Below are 21,138 nucleotides of genomic sequence, written 5' to 3'. Positions count from 1 at the left end.
TAATAACCCTTCCCTACAACAACCTAATGAGGTTAGTGTCCACATTTCATAGATAAGGAAAGCAAGATACAGAAGAGTTAAGTAATTTTCTCCAAGGTCATGAAGTTGGTAGATGGTGGAGTCTGGCTTTGAACTGGATAGTCTAGCTCGAGAGGCTGGAAACCAGAATGTAATGCTGGAAAGGCTGTGAAATAGCATGTGCTTCCGAACAAAGAAGTAATGGGCCTGGCTGCTGTGAAAGTGTAAGACAAAGCTTCTCTTTTCCTCTGAGCTTTAGGAAAAAAATATGTGGCTTTATACGCTGACTCGGAAAAATATGAAGGCAAACAATGGAGCAATAAATGGAGGTAACTTTTACCTGCATCTTCAATTTTTACATCTAATTAAAAGACAAGTGGAACAGGAATCATGGAGAGCCACGGAGGACATAGGAGATTCTCAGACAGGGCCTAAGCCAGCAGCTGTAACCCTTATCCTTACCCGCAAATGTGTCTCTGAGCCTTCTGAAGGCATTTTCAAAAGATTCAAGCAGGCCCAGACACTGTGCCTGGAAATTCCGAGTCAGTGTGGGATAGGGCCCGGGAAATTTTAATTTGGGGGCCATGCTCCAGGTAACATTGAAGTCCTCTCTTGTTTAAAAACCACTGCATACATAACCCAATGATACCATGTTCTGTATTATGAAAATAAAGGAGGACCCTTAGCAAATGGTCTTTGTTTGGGGCAGCCTCCCACTTTTCCAATCTGTGCCATAATCTCCTGTTCCCAACCACATTTCTCCCCACACCCCCCGTTGGGAGTCACCACACTATACCTGGTTCTTGCCTTGAAGTTATTGTTTCGTAATTCCGGATTGGCTATTAGATGATAACGTAAAGACTGGCCCCTTTAGGAGTATTTACATGCCAAAAAGGAGTCTTTATACACAGGAAACTGTGGGGTTCCCCAAATAAACCACTTCTGTCCAGTGAAGAATATGAAGCTTAGTATTCAGGGTGGGGAGTATGGATTTCAGCTTAGATCACAGGGTGTAGGCAGCCATCTATGAGTACAATGATTTCTGAGGATAACCTTCTGAATCAAAAAACTGCATAATTTAGGCAAGCTTTTTTTATCACCCTTAATAATGAAACAAACGTTTCCTCTGACTCATAAATACTACAATTAGTAATATCATTTTCAGGCATAAATTGTGCCCATAAAAACTGATTTTCAACTAGTATAATAGGTAGCTGGAGATGGAGGGACAACAAGAATGCCAGAAACATCTGACTTGGACAAGAAATTCAAAAAGGGGTAGCCTTCAAATGTAGACAAGTAAGCACGTATCATGGCATTCAATGGGTTAAAGTAGCATTTTCCAGTAGTTTATCAAGCAAAGCTCTTTTTTTCCTTTTTCTCCCTGGTGTTCAGATGTGATTCAAATCTGTGGACGTCTCAGCTTCTTCTCTTGGCAGCTCCTCAGTACTCCTCAATGCAGTTTGAATCAGTAATGATGATGACAGCGAGGATGTGCCTGACATTCTGTGCCCAAACCCTGGTCCACACTCAGCCAATTAAAAGACTGTTCCATTTGGAGACCAGACTCCCTCTTCTCCGTCTCTTGCACAGTATGGTGGCTGAGACTGAGGCTGGACTCTGTGGGCTTCAGCTTCTACTACGAAAGCCAAAACTGGCTAAGCCACATGATGTTTGACAAAAATTGACTCAGCTGGAAATTGATCTTCACATGTTTTTCAAATGCTCGCCCACAGTTCCGTGAGACAGTTTTGCCTTTGTGTCTGTTGGGGGGCTTCAACAGACTTCCAACCTCAAATAAATAAAAATGCTTTGATTTAATGCACACTCTCAACCAGACCTTTCTGCTTATTCTGTGAAATAACACAACTTGGGCCCATTCAGCTCTTTGCAGGTTATCAGACTCTTGCTCTATCAGATCCCATGTAAAGAATTTCTAAGGATTATTTTCTATAGAAATGGGTTCTTCACCCCACTGTTTTACTCCACCTACAGTACTACTCAAATGTGAACAGAATAGGAATAGAAAATGAAAGCAATAAAATATGTTCAAAGAGCATTTTAAAAATGTAAATCCATTTTAGGAAAATGTCTGAACCTGAGATAAAAGATGAAAGCAATTTAGATCATTATTTTATTGGTTGGCACAGGCTAGCCTGCACCAAGCCCTTTACAAAATGTGGATTTCTCTTCCTTAAACCGTCTTGTCCATCAGACTTCCTTGAAAATGATATTGTTAGCCAATATGTAGCACATCCTGGGTTGTACTTCCACTAATGTACAGTCTAACCCCCTGATGTATAATTTCTGATTTTAGCTCTTCATACAATAGCTCACAGAACTTAAATTGGCTCTCCTTGGTAAAATGTGATAATCTTTAAAGTCTGCCTGCTAAGACCCTTCTTCAAAACCAGTAATACCTAAGCCAGGATGTTGATAATTACTAAAACATTTTTGAATTCAAAATAACGTCCAAAGACTAAAAAAAAAGAATAGCATAGCATAAGCATTTTTGTTTGAAGTTTCAAGTATCACTGTGTCTGGCTGATGCCCCCAAGGAAGTCCTGTGGTAAAGCTGTCAGGGGAAGCTGTAGGTAAGCACTTGAAAAACATGGTAAAAACAGGTTCCAGCTGAGGCAGTCTTAACACAGCTCCTAATGGCCAGGCTCCCTTTGGCTCACCTTGTTAAGCATCTGCCTGAAGCCCACAAAGAACCCAGTTTGAGGCTCAGCTGCTGTAATAAGCGGAATGAACACATGGAGACTCCAACTAGCAGATGGGGACTTGCTGATTGAGAGAGACTGATCTAGTGTCTGGCCACCTGTTGGCAGACACAGCACTCCTGGCACCCCCCTCTCCACCTAGCAAATTCAGACAGAAGGGAGACAGGAAGAGAACTGATTTCTTAAAGGAATAGATGCAAGAAAAACATTTGTTAAGCCAAACATCACGTGTGAGAGCGGATAGAGTCAATCAATGATGTTGTTTTCGTCACAGCATATGGGAGTATGAGTCTTTCCAGAATAAAGGGAAGCAACACTTATCAGCATGTCTATAATATTTGAAATGTGAATTTAGTGTGCTGACCAGGAATGGCTTTTTAATAGTGATGCTACTAGGAGGCCCAAAGTATTACATTGCTACAGTCAAATGAGCTTCCGAATAGCCAGTGGATGCAAAAGTCAAATTTCAGGAATAAGTCTGTGGATCTCTCTGACTTATTCCCGTGGTGATTCAGTCTACAGTTTTTTGTAACTTTACAGCAACAGGAACAATTAGCTTAACTTGCATTTTATTCTTCCTCAAAGCCCTGGATTTGTACTTGCATTAAAAAAAAGTAAAATAGAAAGGAATCATTCCCTAGACTCTCTCTTCCTTTATTAGGAGCTTGTGGAGGCCCCTGATTGAAGTCAGGGCTCACAGTTGGAGGGCGAGATCATGCCCAAGGGAGGCACGGCTGCTCTGGGATTGTCACTCCTCACAACAAAGAAAGAGGGCCAGGCATTTATGTCAGCTACGCCTCATACTCAAGCCCTTTTGAAGAATGAGTGAGAATCTTAAACTTGAACAGAATACTATGCAGAGAGGTGCTAGAGAACTGAGGTGACCTTTGCTTTGCAAGTTCTTCTCTCCTTTCTCTCTACACTCTTCTTTGCAAGTTCCTCTTCCTTATTTTCTCTCCAGCGGAACATTTCACCCTCAGTAGCTGTTACACCTCATGAAAAATACTGCTACTCTCTGAAATACGGGCTTCTCTTTCCCCCTCATTATAGCGCTAAAAGTACTGTCCTTTGGGGAAAAAAATCACATAGTAGATGTTTCAGAATAAGAAAGCGCTTACCAAAAACAAAAGAACAACAAAAACAAAACACAACAGAATCCTCCTCCTCTTTGGTCCTCTCTTACTATGGTAACTTGGAAGTTTTTGCACAACTTGAGGAGATACTCTGTGAGATATATATATGTGTGTGTATATATATATAGAGAGATTGATATATAGATAGATTTTATATATATACACACATATAAAATATATATGTTGCTTTTTAAACCTTTCCCAGAACTCTCATGACACATTTCAAAAGCTGCTTAAAGATATATGAATATTGGCTGTGAGGCAAGGGTCATCTATTAGACTTGGAAAGAATAGTAGAATTTATTCCATTCTCTTTATTTTAAGGACATGATAACTAAGACCAGATTTCAATTAAATGGCTAGACCAAGGTCACATATCTTGAATGTGGGATAACCAGGATTGAAATCCAAATTCAATGTCAGACTCCTTAAATCATGCTGTCCCAATCAATTTGGCTTCTAAATTGTACTGGAGAAGTAGTGGGCAGGTTGGATAGTGAGTCAGACTGCCAACCTGTGTCATATTGCTGCAGCACAGTGTGAAAAGTTATAGAAATCTGATGTAAGGAAAGCATTCCAGGTAAACCAGATTTTGGCTCTGCCTCTTAATGCGTGACCTTGGGGCAATTATTTAATATGTTTCTGTTCTCCAAGGTCGTCATCTGTGAAATGGAGAGATATAACCCACAGGGCCTCTCTGAGGATTGATGGGCCCATATAGGTGTGGTTCTTAAGGTACTTAACCTATTATCTGCTATTACTTTTCTCTAAAGAATAGCTAAGATTTTTTCCCCTCAAGATCTCTTTTCCTTGTTTCTTCTTCAAAATAACAAATTTTAGCCCATTAAATAATCTCCTTACATTAGTGGCTTTGCATGGGTAATTTTTTTTTCCTGTGTCAGTTATAAGGATTTTCAAATTAGTATACTTTTTTCTTTTTAAAATGAACTAGTTATTACCCAATTCTAGATCACAAACCAGATGTAAAATCAGAGTATTCTAAATTAGAATACATGCTAGTTTTACCAAATACCTGCTCATCCTTCAAAATCCTTTCAAGGATTATTACTCTTCATCTTCAATTTGTCAGGCAGCAGATTGCATCCACTTCAACTTTGAATCAATTCTATGAACAAACTTTATAAGTTATCCCATCACATGCTTTGTTTAACATTGTTCTTGTAATCTGATAATACTGTTATTCCACTGGGGGAAATAATCTATTGAATTTGACTGGTTGGGTTTATTTTTTATAAGCCACCAGACTTTATTGCTTTTGATTCCAGTACTCTCTGGATAGTTACAAATTCTTCTGTCTAACTTATATTAATATACCAAGGATTGATGTTACTGGGGAGTAATTTCCAGTCTTGCTCTTTTAATAATCTTTAAAATGGATTACAATGTTTGGCTTCACATGTTACCCCAATTCACTATAACTTCAAGAATAATAAATAGTATTTCCAAATTAACCAACTGTTATGCCCCCTAGAATGCACATTGTAGGAAATGACATTTCAGAAGCCCGATTTTAGAAAGAATAAAATTTATTATGTTTTCTTGTTAGAAAAAATTATATATGTTTAAATTATAATTTGGAAAATCAAAATAATTTTTTTTTAAAATTACCTCTTACCCAGAGATTATAATAATTAACATTTTTTGGTTCAAATCTTGTCAAGTATATGTATATGTTTATAAATTTTTTATGATGATGGGATTGTACTATACATATATTTTATATAATTATTTACCTAAAAATATATTATGAATATATTTTCATGCCATTTATTATTACATGACTTTTAATGCCTATATAATATTCTATTGTACAGAAGTCATACTTAAATAATTTGTATTTTCTAATTTTTTCTTTTAAAAAAATCACATTTTTTATAATAAATTTTAAAGGAATCTTAATCCGTATACAAAAGAGTAATGAGTTGTTTTTATTGAGCATCTGTTATATGCCAGCCAATTGACATACAAATACCTTATTTTACATATGTTTCTCAATTTGCAAAGTAGAAATTATTGCCTTCTTATTACAGGGTGGAAACATATTACAGATTTTTAAAAACAGATTTTTTTTTTCAAAATTATCAATGCCAAATATCTAAAAACTAGAGTAGTTAGAATTCAGAACCAGGTACACTGATGCAAAGCCCTGTGTTCTCTCAGCTACATCCTCTTAGCCCGTAGACTAAATTCTTCAAAGTAAAATAACGATTTCAAAGAGAAAATCCATTCTAAATCATTTGCTATATTGTGCCAACCAAAAAGACTACTTGTATTCTTTTTAAAATTTTAATTTATTTATGTATTCCTATATGTATTCAAAAGACTGATTTTTAAAAAATCCTTCCCAAATTGCAAAATACCCACAACGACTAATAAAATTCAAAATATTTTATTATTATTACTTGTTGCAACTTTAATAAGTCACTACATTTTAACAACATTTGATGAAAACTTTCTCTTGATCAATGACACTTCTGAAACATCTACCATTTTGATCTCTGATGACCTTTTAATCAGTGAGCATTTCACACTTGATAACACTTGATTACTACTTGGACAAATTATTGATACAATGACCTGGAAATTCACAAGATTTCTCCTCAAATTTGAAGAAGTCGAGTTTATTTTTGAAAGGTTTATTTATAGTTTACTTTAAAAATTACATTTAATCTCATAAAAAATGTGGTAAGATAGAATATCATGGAATTTGAGCTTTTTGTTTTGATGAGCAGTCTCAACTCACATATCTATACTAATGCAAGTAAAATACACCTTACAAAGTTCAAAAATTCCCAATTACATATATTTAACTTAGGAATGAACTATGTGATACTTGTGCCATATTGCCCTTATAATTATATTTTTCTTACACTAAATTTAACTTAATTTTAATTGCTATACCTAATGACCAGGAGACATAAAAGGCGGGATTGGGAAGGGCAGTTTCTATACCTGTGAATTATTCACCAATATTGGTTAGAAATATAATTAATTTAAAATTACTTAGTAAGTTTTAGATTTTAATGTAACTTAATGTAATTTTAATTGAAAATAAGGGCACTTCAGAATGTGGAATACAAATGCATAATTTTCAAAACAGATTATTTTGCAGATAAGATTATTGTTCTGATGAACACAAAATAGTCAATGTAGAATAACTGGAATTCTTTCCTTCTCGTTATCATTTTTACTTTCCTTCTCCCCACCTTGTCACCATTTAATGGTTTAAATGAAAACAAAACAAACAAAAACACTGATAGTCAATTTTCCCACAGCTGCAGAGCAAAGAGCATCAGCCTTATGTTATTAGTCTTAAAGGTCAGATTTAACTTTGGTTAAAATTTGCCTGGCGTAGAGTATCTCTATGAGTTTTAGATATCATCTGTATTGTAATAATTGGTCTCCCCTGGCACAGAACAGGCACTAGATAAATGTTGAAGAAATATAGCATTACGAAGAAATGAAGACTTTCATTTATTTTGATTTTTGGTGTTCTAAGTTCCACATCCCTTTCATACTTAAAAATTCAATTCATGAATTTTTGTTTGCCCTCTTTTACCAGCAGCTACATGGTGGTAGGAATTACACCAAATCAAACCTTGCAGAAAATAATTTAATTAGAAGAGATTCTGTTTCCAAATAAGATGAGGTAATTTTATCACCAACTTACATGAATCCTTATATGTAGTTTGTTTTCTGCTTGTATATATCTATGAGCTAAGAAAAAACATTTGAAAATATACACTAATTTCATAAACAAATCTCATGAATGATGCTACTGGGGAGTAATTTGAAGTTTAAGTCAATTTGCAAAATCTGATTGAGTCATCAAGGTACAGACTATTTATTTTCTTTCTTATCTGGTACAGGTCTTATCAATACTAAATCTTTCCAGTAATCATTTAACTTTATCGTTTTCCCTTTCTGGGAAAAATGAGGATTAGCCATAACTGGAAACATTACAAAGTAAGATAAACTTATTGCATCACTTGGCCTGATTAGTGTTGACATTTTTGGTGAATTTTAAGTGGATTGAGTAAGAATATATATATATATATTTTTCCTTTTGATTTTAGTGTTCACTTATATTTTACGACATTTCTGAAATGGCCTGGTGATGATAATTTGAGAAGAGACACTAGGTCATGAAATATAATTATTTTTAAAAATGCAGTTTTATCTACAGAAGAATTGAAGAGTTATATCAATTTTTATCAATATCTCTTTCTGCAAGCCATTTAAATAATAATACTTTTAAGAAACAAAGATCTTTAAAATAATAAACAAAGGCAAGGTCACCCTTAATATAAAAGATAGCAACATATACAGTTACCTCAAAATATAAATGCCCTGCCTTTTCTCTTCATTCTCTGATGCTTATGAATAAATACTTCATTTTAGTTGTAACAATATTTATATATTTTTCTGAAGAATGTTATTTATGCAGTTCTATAGCTATACCCTAATGAACCCAAAGAATTAAGTAAATTTGCATCTGTACAACATGTGAGGCAACTATAATTTTTCTTTTCTTTCAACTATATTAAATTAATATATATTAAATTATATTAAAGCCTCATAAACTGAATTTTTAAGATATAAATACCTCAATAAAACAGCAGAAAATAATATTAATGGGAGTTCACAGTGAAAAAAACAAAAGAAACAATATGAGAAAGCCTATGAAAAGATACTGTCAACCTTGTCAGGGGAATATGAACTAAAACAATAATGAAATCTTTTTTCCCTCAAAATCAGACTGGGAGAGCACTGAGGGCCAAGGTCAACAACGATTTTGAAAAGCATGCTGGCAATGCTTATAAAACTGTAAATATGTGAAATCTCTGACCAATACTGTGACAGCTCTATTATATAAATAAAATGCAAGTAGGCAATAATAAATGTACCATGTTTATTACAGTACTATTCATACTGGCAAAAACACGCAAGCCACCAAAATATTCATCAATGTAAGACTGGACGAATATGGTAATCTGCATCATGGCTACAGCTACTAAAGGAATTGGGTCCACATACGCTTACTTGGATGAATAAGCCCATGATGTAAAACTTAAACAAGAAACAAGCCAATAATACCAAAACCAATACAGAACCATATTCCTGTACAGGTGATAGATTGATCTATCTATCTATCTATCTATCTATCTATCTATCTATCTATCTATCTATGTATCTATCTGCCTGTCTATCTGTCTTATATGTAGAGAGAGAAATATGTGAAAAAATAAAAGGTTAACTTGAGAGACGCCATGTGACAGTGGGCAATGGGAGAGGGACAGGTGAGGGAAATTAATAAGTTTTGCTTAATACATTATTTACATAGTTTTATCAGTTACAGCAAACATTTATTATTCTACATAGAAAATAGGAAAGATCACCAATAAATTAACACAGACACATAACAATCAGCTTAGTGTAAATTAGTTGTACTAATGTGCTCTAAATTATGCACCAAAGATATCTAACCGCAGGGCCCTTCTGCATGAAGGGACTGAGACTCTTCAGACCATTTTTTCCCCCCAAGATGGAGTCTCACTCTGTCAACCAAGCTGTAGTGCAGTGGCGCCATCTTGGCTCACTGCAACCTCCACCTCCCAGGTTCAAGCGATTCTCGTGCCTTAGCGTCCTGAGCAGCCGTGATTACAGGTGCCCACCACCATGCCCACCTAATTTTTGTATTTTTAATAGAGATGGGGTTTCACCATGTTGGCCAGGTTGGCCTCGAACTCCTGACATCAGGTGGTCCACCTGTCTAGGCCTACCAAAGTGCTGAGATTAGAGGCATGAGCCACCATGCCCGCCCTCAGACCATTTTTAAAGAAAGCATGATGTTCCAGCATTTGTGGAAAACTACAGAAGACATTTGAGCATCCTCTAGTAACTTGGGTTTTACCTAAAGATTAGAGGAGGAAACTATTTTTAAATGCAAGTAAAACCACAGAAACAGATTCTATGGGGTTTTAACCTACTAGGGTCTGTTTCTGGTCTGCTGGATCAGGGAATAAAAGGTCTGGTTTGGTCGTTTTAATGGTCTGGATAAAGGATGCAGTTGATACAGGAGATGGCCATATACATTTTGGTGGTTCAGGGTATTTTGCTACCATACGAATAATTTTTCACAATTTTCTGCACCAGAAAAACTTGGTAATCTCAGATCAGTTCAGTGTTTGCACAACAGTTTTGCCACATAATTTATTTTTAACAAGTATATCGTTTTGCTTAATCTTCCTGAAGAACAAAGTTCTCTAATCTTAGAAAAATAGCAAAAAGTCATGTTTTAAAGATTTTTCTCTAAATTTTGTTATTTTAGATGAAAAATTACTTTCATTGTAAATGGAATACATTAATCTGAATTAAAAACTATTATGAAGTTTTTAAAAATTAGGTAGAAATCAATGAAAATATGCAACATATTGTGTAGAGTACAAAAAAACCTAATATCTTGACAACCTTCTTCCAGGGGCTTTTTACAATCTGCTTGACAGGTAAGAGGTCGATAGTACGAATTCAACCACTATTAGCAAATTAATACAAGCAACAACAGTTTATCTAGAAATAAGAGTACTCAAATGCTTCTTTAAGAAGAAAATATAAGAGCAATAACACCATCAAATGATTTTTTAAGGATATTTCAAAAACCAGTCAAGCACACTTTTGAATAAAAACTTTGCAAATTGGAATTAAATAAAGGAACATGATATAGAAAACATCAACAAGAAACTTACCCCATGAAGGTTTGTTTATAGTCAGTTTCAGCATCCCCTTTGCTTGTGAAGGATGAGTGACTATTGGGTATATCTCAATGCCATATGTATTATTGAATAGGTTTGTTACAGTTTTATCAGAGGGAAATTCTATGAATGGCAGCCAGTGCATACCTTGAATGATTGAACAACCAAAGCATCCTCCTAGAAGGAAAGTGTCAAAAAGAACATCCTCTTGATTATCTTTCAATGATCTTAATGCAATAATTAAAGTATTAAGTTCACAGATATGCATTACCAACCAGTAGAAATGCATTGGAAATACTCTTCCAACTCATGGTTGATTTAGTACTTTCCTAGTGGGAAAGGATTGTTTGTATTTAAAAGTTGGATAAATAAATACATTTATAGTTCGTGATAAAAGTTGACTCATTTAGTAGACCTTTCTTTTCAAGACAATCACAACTAAATCAACAACTTGAAGCCAAAATTCTGATGATGAAAAGACTGTAATGAAAATGCAGCTTGAGAGCTGGGTGAAGAGGTCACGGATTTTATGAATCATATCACACTATTATTTACATGTGATTAGAATTAATGACGATGTTAAAATAAGGAAAAACATAAAGTTAGTCATCTCTTCATACTGAAGAGTCTTCTGATGAAATACTTCCTGAAGCTGTAAAAGGTGCAAGATGATGGATTAGAGACATTTTCTGTCTACTATATGAGGATAGCAGCAACCTCATTTCTTAGTAATAAACTACTTAAAATTGCCAGCAAAAGTAATATTGAAAATGTTATACCATTCATTTTACCATATATTCAGGTCATCTCTACTCAGTGACATATGTTACAAAGTTTTAAAAGATACATTGTTGCCACTTACATCCATGTATTTATGTAAACCAAAGTTCTAGAAGAACTATAAAAAGAAGCAGAGAAATTATCTAGACCTTCACTCTAGTCTTCAGTAACAGCTTTCTTTAATCCAGCAGGGTTTGCTAAAATTGACCTGTTCAGCACAGATAGATGACAATTCCTTTTAATAGAGGTAATGCCAAACATTGTTTTTATACACCAACATATTGTGAATGGAGAAAAATGTAAATTTTGTTTGAAGATATCAAAGCATATTTATTGATCTCTCTCTTTATGCTTCTTTAATGAATACCTTTTAAAACAATTTCAACTTTTATTTTAGATGCAAGGATACATGTCCAGGTTTGTTGCATGGGTATATTTCATGATGCTGAGGATTGGGGTATGATTGATCCCATCACCTAGGTAGTGAGCATATTACTCAATGGTTAATTTCTCAACCTTTCCCCAACTCTAGTAGTCCCCAGTATCTATGGTTACCCTCTTTGCATAAGTGAAAATTGTTATCCTTTGCATAAGTGAAAATATGCAGTATTTGGTTTTCTGTTCCTGTGTTAATTATTTTATAATCATCTCCAGGTGCATCCATGTGGCTACAAAAGACATGGCTTCATTTTTTACAGCTGTGTAGTATTCCATGGGGTATATGTACCACATTTTCTTTATCCAATGCATTGTTGGTGGATACATTCTATCTATTTATGTCTAGTCTTTACCCTTCTCCTCCCCTCCAAAATCATTTTGAGTCTCCTACACCATTAGAGATTTATTAATAAAAATGCTTGACAAATATTGTTATAGTTCTCATTAACCTTTTATGAGTGGGCAAAATGAAGCTTATAGAAGCAAAATGACTTATCTAAAACTTAATAATCAGCTAGTTGTTGAGTTGGAACCCTATTACATATTTACTGACCTACCTGAGCTTCCTATTACATTGCAATTCTGTCTTGGTCTTGATATAAATAGTAACTAACCAGTAAGGCTAAATGAACTTTCAAGAAACTAAAACTAAAAGTTATTGAATAACATGCCAAGAAACAGCAATAAATAGATGGGATTGCATTGAGATTGTTAACTGTTGAAAGTGCTCCTTCTAAACTGACTTCAAAACTATACAACTCTTCCAATTACACCTTGTATCACTAGATTTAATATTAGAGATGATAGTAATGCCTGTCTGAGGTAATATTCAGCAAGTCTATTTTTCTCACTGACAAGACTGCTCATAAAAACTCAAGAAAATCTTGGTGGGGGGGAAAGTCAGAATTTCTGTTTATTATTACACTCACTTTGAAACTTGCATTAAATTTGCTTTGATTTCTTTAAAACCCCAGGCAAAATACCCAGTACTTATTTTTAGAATTTTCATTATAATAGAAATATTTGCTCTTCAGTCATTGACAAGATTAACCTTTTAACTTTTGGTTTTTGGTTTTTGCTTTTATCCTCACTTTCTTCTGACGAAGGTAGGCAAATTATTGAATTCCTGTTCCTAGAACTAATTGACAGGATGTGAAATATTTCTTCAGTTCTTATCACACTCCAGTCTTCTGTTCCTTTACTAGAAATTAAGTGTACACAGACTAACGTTTTAAATGCTTAACGGGATGTTCTTTATTTTATTTCTCAACCTTTCATACCATTGCTGTAGTACGTAAAACATAATGATAGCATTTTGGACATCATATGTCCATGATTCATACTGTTGATACAGATGTTTTGGCCCTCACTATGAAGACGAACAAAAAATATTTCAATAAATGCCATTAAGTACCTGAGAGTACCAATAAAATCTTCACTTGTTTTTTAAATATTACAGGCATGTAGGGTCATTCCTAGATGGATTCCAAAACCCAGGACCAGGGGACTTTATGAGTTTGGAGGTAGAGAAACAAAAGCATCCTTTTTAAAATGTATATTTAGTGCCATGAACAATGCTGAGCACATTAGATTGAGGATCTTATACCTAACAAACATGGTTTAAGCTATTGCCAACGGCAGTGAGGCAAGGGGAAAGAATAGCCAGGTAGGTCATGAAAAAAATGCCAATCAGTCTGAGGTCGAGGGAGGAAAGAGAGAGAAAACTACCCCATGACAGTTTATAAGTTTGCTGTCAATGGAGCATGTTTCTGCTTTCACCCTGAAAAGCTCCAGCTGTGTGCAAAGAGTCTTTCTCTCCTCTGGCAAGCCCTGCCTCCTGTCCAGAAAAAAATGCATAGCTGGATTTGTGACTTGCAAGATCTGATAATTGCACAGACCAACTCCTTTGCAACATTTTAGCCATGGCCACAGTGGCCATTCTCTATGCAAAGCCCTGGGAGGGCTACAAATGTCAGTGTATCCTCCTTCATCCTCATTTATTTGTCTTATTTTCATCTTCTCTACTCTCAGCTACACTTGGATAGTTGTTTAATGTGGCTAAAATTACTCTGTCTCATAGAAGGAGCAAGATAAGATCATTTACACTATTGTTTTAACATTAGTAATGATTGTATCTTGTCCTTGAAATCTTTACTTATTCCAAAATTTAAAGTATCATTCTCAATAGCAGCAGTAGACTGTATTCTTTTGCTTATTAATTAATGATATACAGATAGGTCAGAAGAAAATCAAACTGAACAAATGTCCCATGACTGGGGTAAGTGCGTTGATCTGCTTTTCCTTTCAGAGAGAAAAATCTGTCTTTATTCCTAAACCAAGGTGACATTTAGCACCAGCAGATTCCTTTATTGACAGTCTCAGAAGAACAGCCCTAGATTGAATCAGCTTTAACTGTTGTTTCCATTAAAGATGCATTGAGTTATATTGGCAAGCCAAGGTGGCAAGAACTGATGCTGCCACTAAGTGTGGCACCTGATATTTGGAAAACACTGGAGTTCTGCCACTGAATCAGTCAATTTAGCACCACTGGTCAACTTGAAGTGCATTAAGAGGAAAAACATATTTTCAAGTATAAAGAGCAGTTATTTGACATAATAGCAATCATGCAGGTAAACTAGTATTACCCATCACATTTGACTTTTTCAGCAACTCAAATTAAAAAGGGCTGTCTTGGTACAGAATCATATTAATATGTAGTTAATAAATAGTTAAAAATTAGTTGCTGAGAGAAAATTGCTTTCTGGACTATTAAAATAGAGAAGGTCCTTTTGGGTTAGTGCTGGGCAAGAGATTAATTTTTACTGACATTTATATCATACCTCTGAGCTTTAGAAAAATAAAAGTGGAATCAAATCAGGTCAAGCAAGTACAAATGAGAAGATATTGCTGAGAACTGCATGAGCACCTCAACACCTAAACCCAAATTAAACAGGAGCAACTCTGAATTGCGACCCCCCCCTGTGGATCATGCTGGGGGAGAAAATACAGAGGGTTTATTTAGAAAGTCTTGGCAGTAGGCAAGTATGGAAAAAAAGGTTCAAAATTGCTAATTTATTTTGCTAAGGAGCTCATCAAGACTAGTAGACACAGGAAAGATTTCAGAGTGTCTCATAAAGTGGCTTACAATCAATTGCAGAGCTAGACATATTAGTCTAGAATCAACACGTTATTGCTTTTAGTCACTGAACATAACTGAGCACAGCATGCTATAGAAAGATTGCAGGCCGCCAAAGCTGTTGGCTTTAGCAGATTTATTTATTTTTTTAGCTTTTGCAAGTGACAAAAACATATGCAGAGCAGTGGCCTTCTTTGAGCATGTTTGGTGAGCTGATCACCTTAAATTGCAACTTAAAACTTTGCTACTTAAATGGTTTATTTTCTTCTTTATCCCTCCTAAATTTCTCTGTCATTACTTTAAATGATGTATTTCTCACCAAGTATCATATTTATGCTAGAGTTCTAGCACTAAAAAAAGAGTCATTCCTCTGAAAAAAATATATATACATATTGTCACTTTTGCAAAAGAATTTTTCATTAAAACACTAGCATCCGTGACTCTCAAAAGTGAAATAAAGTATAATGCTTGCTAAGGTATAAAAAGACCCATTCTCCAAATTACAGGACTTGAGCACTACAATTTTGCTGCTGTGGCTGTTGAACATTTTAAGGAGTGTTTCTAATGCCCTTTATAGCTTCTGTGCTGAATGCAGAAACACTGTTCTCTGGTGACAGAGTGATGTTAGAAGTGTTAAAAAGTGCTAGTTGGCTTTTGCAAGGTTATAGAGAGCTTTGTGAACCTCATCTTTTATTATGCTGTGTCCTACCTGAAAGAGATGTACACTTTACCTGCATTGGTTGAGGGGTCCATATATAATTCTAGCTGAAATCCCCATTGCTAAAGGCAAGATATGGTGTTCTATCTGAATTCCAGTCCCTTGACTTTGACTATCAACAAATAGTCCCTAGTTAGCCCTATATTCCCATACAAAAAGGTAAACTTGTCACATTTTCATAATGCTATTTTAGCAACCACAGTCTTTGAAACAATTACTAGGTTTTTGTTTGTTTCTGCACTGAGGTAGGCTATTTTTGTTTGTTTGTTTGTTAGTTTCTGAGACGGAGTTTCACTCTTGTCACCCAGGCTGGAGTGCAATGACGCGATCTTGGCTCACTACAACCTCTGCCTCCCAGGTTCAAGTGATTCTCCTGCCTCAGCCTCCTGAGTAGCTGGGATTATAGGCACCCACCACAATGCCCAGCTAATTTTTGTATTTTTAGTAGAGTTGGGGTTTCACCATGTTGGTCAGGCTGGTCTCAAACTCCTGGCCTCAGGTGATCCGGCTGCCTCAGCCTCCCAAAGCGCTGGGATTACAGGTGTGAGCCACCACAACTGGCCGGCTGTTTTCTTATAAATGAAGAAACCACAGAAATTGCTAACTTTATTAATATATTTATTTTGAGATAGGGTCTTGCTCTGTCACCTGGACTGGAGTGCAGTGGCACAATCAGGGCTCACTGCAGCCTTGACTTCCCTGGCTCTAGTGATCCTCTCACCTTGGCCTCCTGAGTAGCTGGAACAACAGGCACATACCCCCACATCAGGCTGATTTTTTGACTTTTGTTTGAAGAGATAGGGTCTCACTATATTGCCCAGGCTGGTGTCGAACTCCTGGGCTCAAGTGATCTTCCCACCTTGGCTTCCCAAAGGGCTGGGATTACAGGTATGAGTCACCACGCCCGGCAAAATTGCTAACTTTAATGTTCATTTTGAGTCAAGCAGGAATAATACCTCTGAAACACTCTACCTGTACACTTTGTTTGGTTTCTATTACAAAGAGAGTGTGATTTCAGAACCAAACTTGGGTCATTCTAGTCCAATATCATTGATCTCAATGAAGCTTTTGGTGAACGAATGCCTGGAAAAAATTAGTATAAAGCAAAAATCATAATCATATCATTACAATAATAAAACATCTTTATCTTTTTTTCTATTCAAGCTTGTTGGAGCTTCTAGCTGTTTCTCTAAATAAAACAAAACAAGACAAAACTTATCAGCCCTCTCCATGTACATCTGAACCCATCCCATTATTCTGCATCTTTCTAATCTTATTCTGATTTAGAAAAAAGCAAACCTGCTTTTCTCTCTTTGTTGACATTCTAGATGATTTGGACCCTGTCCTACTTGGCCTGTCTGAAAGTTGTCTTAAGTTTCCTCTGTTCCAACTCTGAACCCTGCTCAGAATGCAGCTTCCTGCCAGGTCATGCGTTTCTAACAGTCTCTGCCTACAGCAACTTGTCTGAGGCCTGAAGCAACAACTTGGAAATTTCTTTGAAGAGAGAAAATTATAAATCAATAGGTACATTCAGATCAAAAGGAAGTGAGGAATCTGCAAAGGAAAAGCCATTTGAACCTTTTAATATGAACTTCCAAAACCTAAAAAAAAAAAAAAAATACTTAAAATATAGGAAAAAAAAAAAAGAGCCTACAGAGACAAGTTGCTTCAAGGTTAACTTTTTTTGAGAAAACCAAAAAACATCATTCACAGCTGAAGCAAATTAAACAGCATCACACATTTTGTTTTGAGTGTTGTGGTTAGCAGCAATAGCATTCATTGATACATCCACTCATCTAGTCATTTGACAGATGCTTGTTAAGAACAGTTTCTCACATGTTATTTCATTTAGTGCTTCCAAGTATAATGAGTTAAACATAGATCCAGAAAACCAAAATCACATACTTGAAGTTTTTCATATTAAAGAGTGAGCTGCTTTCAGTCTACTTCTTAACCCCCTTTCCACTAACTTTATTCCAATCTTTGGTGATGTTATGAGTTCACAGGCAGTTGCAGATGAAAAAAAGAAGGAAAGATACTGGAATAAACATAAAGTAATGACTGGAAATAGACTGTAGCACTCAGCTGATAAGTATCACTGCTCAGTGTAAAAGACAGCAAATCAGGTAGGAAATCACTATTACTGAATACATTTGGCAGATCTGGGTGCCAACATTGCTCTATAGCTTATGATGCTAAGATGGGAAAAAGACGCGGTGTGTGATTGAGAATGATCCATTAATTGATCACTTGACTGATCTTCAAGCAGGGAATGAAACAAATACTTGAGGTAATTACAAATATTTTCCAAAGATTCATAATAATATGACTCATATGAGAAAAATACATAATGCATTTTAAATATATATTAATTCTGTTTTTATATTATGACATCTCATTCTGTTCAATTGTTCAATTTAAATTTGAATGTTATTTGGGTGGCTTTATTCTAACAATTTGGCAATTTACTAGGGTAATAAAAGAATTCATTTTAACTAATAAGTGCTCACAAAAAGCTTTGTATATTAGAGTTAAGTTTTATTGAATTTGAACCTGGTCTGGCATTACATTGCTATTTAACAGATACCGCATTTATCATGTTATATTATATTCATTGCCTGTGCATTAGCCTCACCGTTTCCTCAAATGCACTTTGGAAAAGTATTTAAAGGAGTGTTCATTTGGATAAAATGCATGTTTATTTCATTAATAGCTTTGTCACTGAATTAAAACTACATTTTAAAATACATATAAACTTAAGGACGATGTGGCTATTTTGCAAAATGGCCTTTGGACTTAAGATTCAGAAGCAATTAAAAGCTGGATTAAGATCTCCCTCTTTTTAGGACTCCTTCATTTCTCTATCTTATGTGATGTTTAGAAAGGCCTTTAAAAAATTCACAATGAAGTCCAGGCATGGTGGCTCACACCCCTAATCCCAGCACTTTGGGAGGCCAAGGTGGGTAGACCACTGACAGAGTGAGACCCTGTCTCAAAAAAAAAAAAAATGAAATTATTTTAAAATAACATTTGCAGTAGGACTTATTTGTACATGTTCAATGGAGGTTAGGATAATATCTGTCTAATGTACTTGTATACTTGAAGATATATAATAATTGGCTGGACGTCGTGGCTCACACCTGTAATCCCAGATCTTTGGGAGGCTGAGGCAGGCAGGTCATGAGGTCAGGAGTTAGAGACCAGCCTGGCCAACATGGTGACACCCCATCTCTACTAAAAAAAAAAAAAAAAAAAAAAATTAGCTGGGCATGGTGGCAGGCACCTGTAATTCTAGCTACTAGGGAGGCTGAGGCAGGAGATTCAGTTGAATCCAGGAGGCGGAGGTTGCAGTGAGCCAAGATCACACCACTGTACTCTAGCCGGGGCAACAAGAGTGAAACTCCGTCTCAAAACAAAAGAAAAAAAAGGACAGATAATAATAATAGTTAATGTTTACTGAGCACTCAGTATGTGAAAACAACTCTGTTTTGTGACTTTACATTGTCTGATTTAATCTATATTATATCACAATGAGATAGATATCATTGTTTTGCCCATTTTATAAGTCAGAGCACTGAGATATAAAGGGAGATCAATGGTGGCTTGCTCAGGATCCCACGGCCACTCCTTTGGGCTAAAGATAACATGACCTATACTTGGAATAATCATACATTATATAATTAATAACTAGGTCTGTGGCTTTTTTTGTTTTTTTTTAGACAGGGTCTCAGTTCTGTCACCCAGGCTGGAGTACAGTTGACGTGATACTGGTTCTGTGGCATTTTTAAAGTAACATTTTATTAAACTAAAAAGGCACTATTTTAAGGTAGTAACCCACCTAGATGAGTCCCAATGATCATAAATTTTTCTGTTACAAATTTTCTGAGTTCCAATTGGCATTACATTAAACATTAATGTTCCCAAATTGGGAAAGTTAATTGTCATATTAATTAGAACACATTGAAAATAAACACTATTTATATACATTTGATTTTCAAGTGAATTTGGCTGTCCTCCCTTTTTGTGTGGGTGGGGTAAGCAACTTCGTATATCATATTGCATGAACTCAAGGGAGCTAATTAGGGCTCATTTTCCCCACAGTTCTCAAAGTGTATGAAGTTGTGTGTGTGTGTGTGTGTGTGTCTGTGTGTGTTCATATTTATGACAGAGAGAGAAAAAGAAGAGGGAGAGACAGAAAAACTCCAGTTAAAAAGCAAATGCCCTTGAGACGGATCTAGTTAGCTGAAAGTCACATGAAGCTGTATGTGTCTGTGGATGGAGTGTGTTGTAACTGGAGGAAAGTTGAACTGAACCATATGTCCCTATCAGGGTAGGAAGATCCAAAGGGAAATCAGAAAACTGTGAGTAGGACTTTAGTGCCTGAGAGTAAGGGAGCCTGTGAATGTAACTAAGGACTTTTGTGAATTTTATATTTTATGTAAGTTTAACATCTATATTAAAGGGAATTTTATTTTAAAGCATCAGGGGTATTGCTAGAAATGCAAGAAAGAACAGATGCATTTTTTGATAGCCTCAAACCAGCAACTAGGGAACTGTCATTTGCTGAGGCAGCTACTTTCTCCATGGCTCTTGCTGTCTCATGCTCACTCTCTAGCTCTCTTCTAATGTCTCTACATGGTATCTCCTCTATGCCTTTCTCTGCAATTCAGCTTCATCCTTTGTACTCTTCAGTTCCTTTTCTCTGCTTCTGCACATTTGATAGCCAAACTAATCTAACTACAGATTTCATTATTGGTCTAGTTGAACTACTTGACTTCTCCTGGTTCGAATTCCAATATTCCCTGGAGAGAATGTGGTTGGATAGCTAGAGTCAGATGTATGCTACCTGCCAAGTCAGCTCTGGTTGGGTTGGCACACCATACATGGGTGGTACCAGGGACCACCCATAAGGAGTTTCAAGTATGGTTTTGCATTAGGGTTAATGTCCTGACCAAATCACAGGACTAAATAAGAGAAAGTAAAATTAGGGGAACTGACAGACACTGTAATTGTCCTAAAGACCAGGGATGAAAGGGGGAGAATAATTTCTAGAACACTGGCAGAAGCAATGGAATTAACAAGGCATACATAAGGCTAGAAATATATTTTCCCAGGTTACTCCTGGAACAAATAAAAGAAGAAAATAATGATACAAAATCAATCTAATGTAGGAAAGGATGTATTCTAACTTCGATGATACTTTATTGATACAAAACAAGTGACAGTGATCATTAAATCAGGTCAGTGTTACCTTGGCTAAGCTCTCAAGTTAATGAATGTCGAGATGACCTGTTTGTAGCAATAACCAAAGGTCACTTTCAGGTGAATTCCACATCCTCCATGACCTGTATTTGTGGTTCTAAATCTTAGTTGGAGAATCTTTTCACTGTATTTTACTTTTCCTTTTATATCTGAATCT

At 35.7% G+C, this 21,138-nt stretch overlaps 1 protein-coding gene and 1 long non-coding RNA gene across 5 annotated transcripts in view; one reads left to right on the top strand and one right to left on the bottom strand.

Annotated features, from left to right (window-relative positions):
• Positions 1-21,138, top strand: part of LRP1B (LDL receptor related protein 1B) — a 1,899,594-nt gene that overhangs the window by 399,202 nt on the left and 1,479,254 nt on the right. The gene's annotated exons all lie outside the window — the stretch shown is intronic.
• The window catches only part of LOC107985779 (uncharacterized), a 151,402-nt gene that overhangs the window by 31,035 nt on the left and 99,229 nt on the right, over positions 1-21,138 (bottom strand). The window contains exon 2 of one of the 2 annotated variants that reach the window (XR_007087247.1): positions 10,642-10,824. This is a non-coding gene — a long non-coding RNA (uncharacterized LOC107985779). Of the gene's footprint in view, positions 1-10,641; positions 18,722-21,138 lie in introns of those variants that run through there. The other variant, XR_001739132.3, reaches the window with a different exon arrangement.

Source organism: Homo sapiens, chromosome 2 (assembly GCF_000001405.40).
Source record: "Homo sapiens chromosome 2, GRCh38.p14 Primary Assembly".
Classification (NCBI taxonomy): domain Eukaryota; kingdom Metazoa; phylum Chordata; class Mammalia; order Primates; family Hominidae; genus Homo; species Homo sapiens.
This window is presented reverse-complemented; position numbering and strand designations above follow the sequence as displayed.